The sequence below is a fragment of the Homo sapiens genome, chromosome 4 (assembly GCF_000001405.40).
Source record: "Homo sapiens chromosome 4, GRCh38.p14 Primary Assembly".
Classification (NCBI taxonomy): Eukaryota; Metazoa; Chordata; class Mammalia; order Primates; family Hominidae; genus Homo; species Homo sapiens.
In genome coordinates, this window is record NC_000004.12 from 53,885,788 (window position 1) to 53,887,696 (window position 1,909).

The following is a 1,909-nucleotide window of genomic DNA, read 5'->3' on the forward strand; positions in this document are numbered from 1 at the left end:
GGGCTAGCTATGAACTCTGACTTCCCCCTCCAGAGAGTGTCCATGTCAATGTTTTCCTGTTCAGTGGCCAGGCTGGCTTAGCCCTGGGCCAAAAGGCTCCCTGAGGAGGGCTCTCTGGAGTCTGGACTGGCAGTGGGTGTTGCCTCCACTGAGCCTGAGAGGAAATGGTCCAGAAGAAGTAGGACCATCATCCAGAAAGAGACGTCAACAATTCAGTATTATTTTTGGAGCTCTGAACCTGAAAGTAGAAGTTTTGTTAAAGCACCAACCAAATTTTAAAAAATAAAATTAAGCAAATAAAATAAAGCAGAGAAAGCTAGACTAACCTTCCTGCTAATAAACTCAGAATTTAAGAGAGTATTGCACTCTGAAACCAGGACTTTTCTCAGAGACTCATGGAGCTGTATTGTTCATATGGTCTGTGATTTGTTTCTGACCTCTTAGTATACCTGCCACGTATGCCTCAAATCCTATGACAGCAGGTGCCACCAAGACAAAGCTTTCTCTATACAGGACAAAGCTCCAGACAAAGGCTCATTCATTCATGCTACAGTGTAGGAAACTGCATTCCAGTATGTTGAAAGCATCCACTACCTCCCGGATTTTGTAGCACATCCAGTGCTACAAATTGATCCAAACTCTTAAATTCAAATCTTCCAAAAGAAAAAAGGAAAGGAAAAGCAGCTCACCCCCACCTGGTAGAGCCCTGACAGGCTAAGGAAAACTCCAATTTGATTCAGATTGGATCAGAGTCAATTACTAGCCATGTGAAGAGAGGAGCTTCTCCTACTTCATCAGGTCCCTGAAAAGAAAATAATTGCTTTAGCTCCTTGCTACTCAACCTGTGGATCCTGAATCAACAGCATCACATCATCTGGGAACTTTCAGAACTAAAAATCCTTATGACCTTGGTTTAGGCAAGATTTCTTGGATATGACACCAAAAGTAAAAACAACAAAAGGAAAAAAATACATAAATTGGACATCATCAAGTTTGTGCTTCAAAGCACACTGTCAAGAAAGAGAACAGACATCCCACAAATGGGAGAAAATATTTTCAAATTAAATATCTGACCATGATCTAGTATCCAGGATATCCAAGGAGCACTTACAACTCAGTAATAAAAAGACAAAAAAAAAGATTTTAAAATGAGCAAGGGATTTGAATAGACATTTCTCTAAAGAAGATAGGCAAATGGCCAATAATCACATGAAAAGATGCTCAACATCCTAATCATTAGGGAAATCCAAGTCAAAACCATACCCACTTCACATCCACTTGGATGGCTGTAATAAAAAAATCAGACAATTCATGCTACAACACAGATAAACCTTGAAGACGTTATGCTTAGTGAAAGAAGCCAGACACAGAAGGCCCTATATTATATGATTCCATTTGTAGGAAATGTTCAGAATAGGCAAATCCATAGAGACAGTAGGGAAAGTAGATTTGGGGTTGCCAGGGGCTGTGAGGAGAGAAAAACAGGGAGTACTTTCAATAAGTATGAGATTTCTCGGGTAATGAAGATCGTCTAGATGGTGGTGATGGGGTCACAACCTTGTAAATATACTAAAAGTCACTGAATCTTATACTTTAAAAGGTTGAATTTTATGATAGGTGAATTATATCACAATAAACAATGAAGAAAAAGAAAAAAGATCTCAGGCCCCACCCCAGACCCCTCTATCAACATCTGTGTTATAACAAGATCCTCAGATCACAGAAGTGCACATTAAAGTCTGAGGAGCACCAATGTGACACTGGTTGGCATACGTGGCTGCAAATTGGAATCACTTGAGGAGTTTTCACAGCCACTCCCTGATGTGCTGAGCTGTCTTTCTGTGTCTCATCTGCTCAACTCACCTGGAAGCTCCTGGGGTGTCTAGGATGGGCCTCATACTTCATGATG

The 1,909-nt window shown here is 40.6% G+C and overlaps 1 annotated feature.

Moving 5' to 3' along the window:
- Positions 355 to 649: a silencer, noted in NCBI's record as "tiled region #11224; HepG2 Repressive DNase matched - State 9:DNaseU, and K562 Repressive non-DNase unmatched - State 24:Quies". NCBI's record gives its function as "represses a minimal TATA promoter and a strong SV40 promoter by Sharpr-MPRA in HepG2 and K562 cells {active_cell/tissue: HepG2 | K562}" and the evidence as "EXISTENCE:reporter gene assay evidence [ECO:0000049][PMID:27701403]".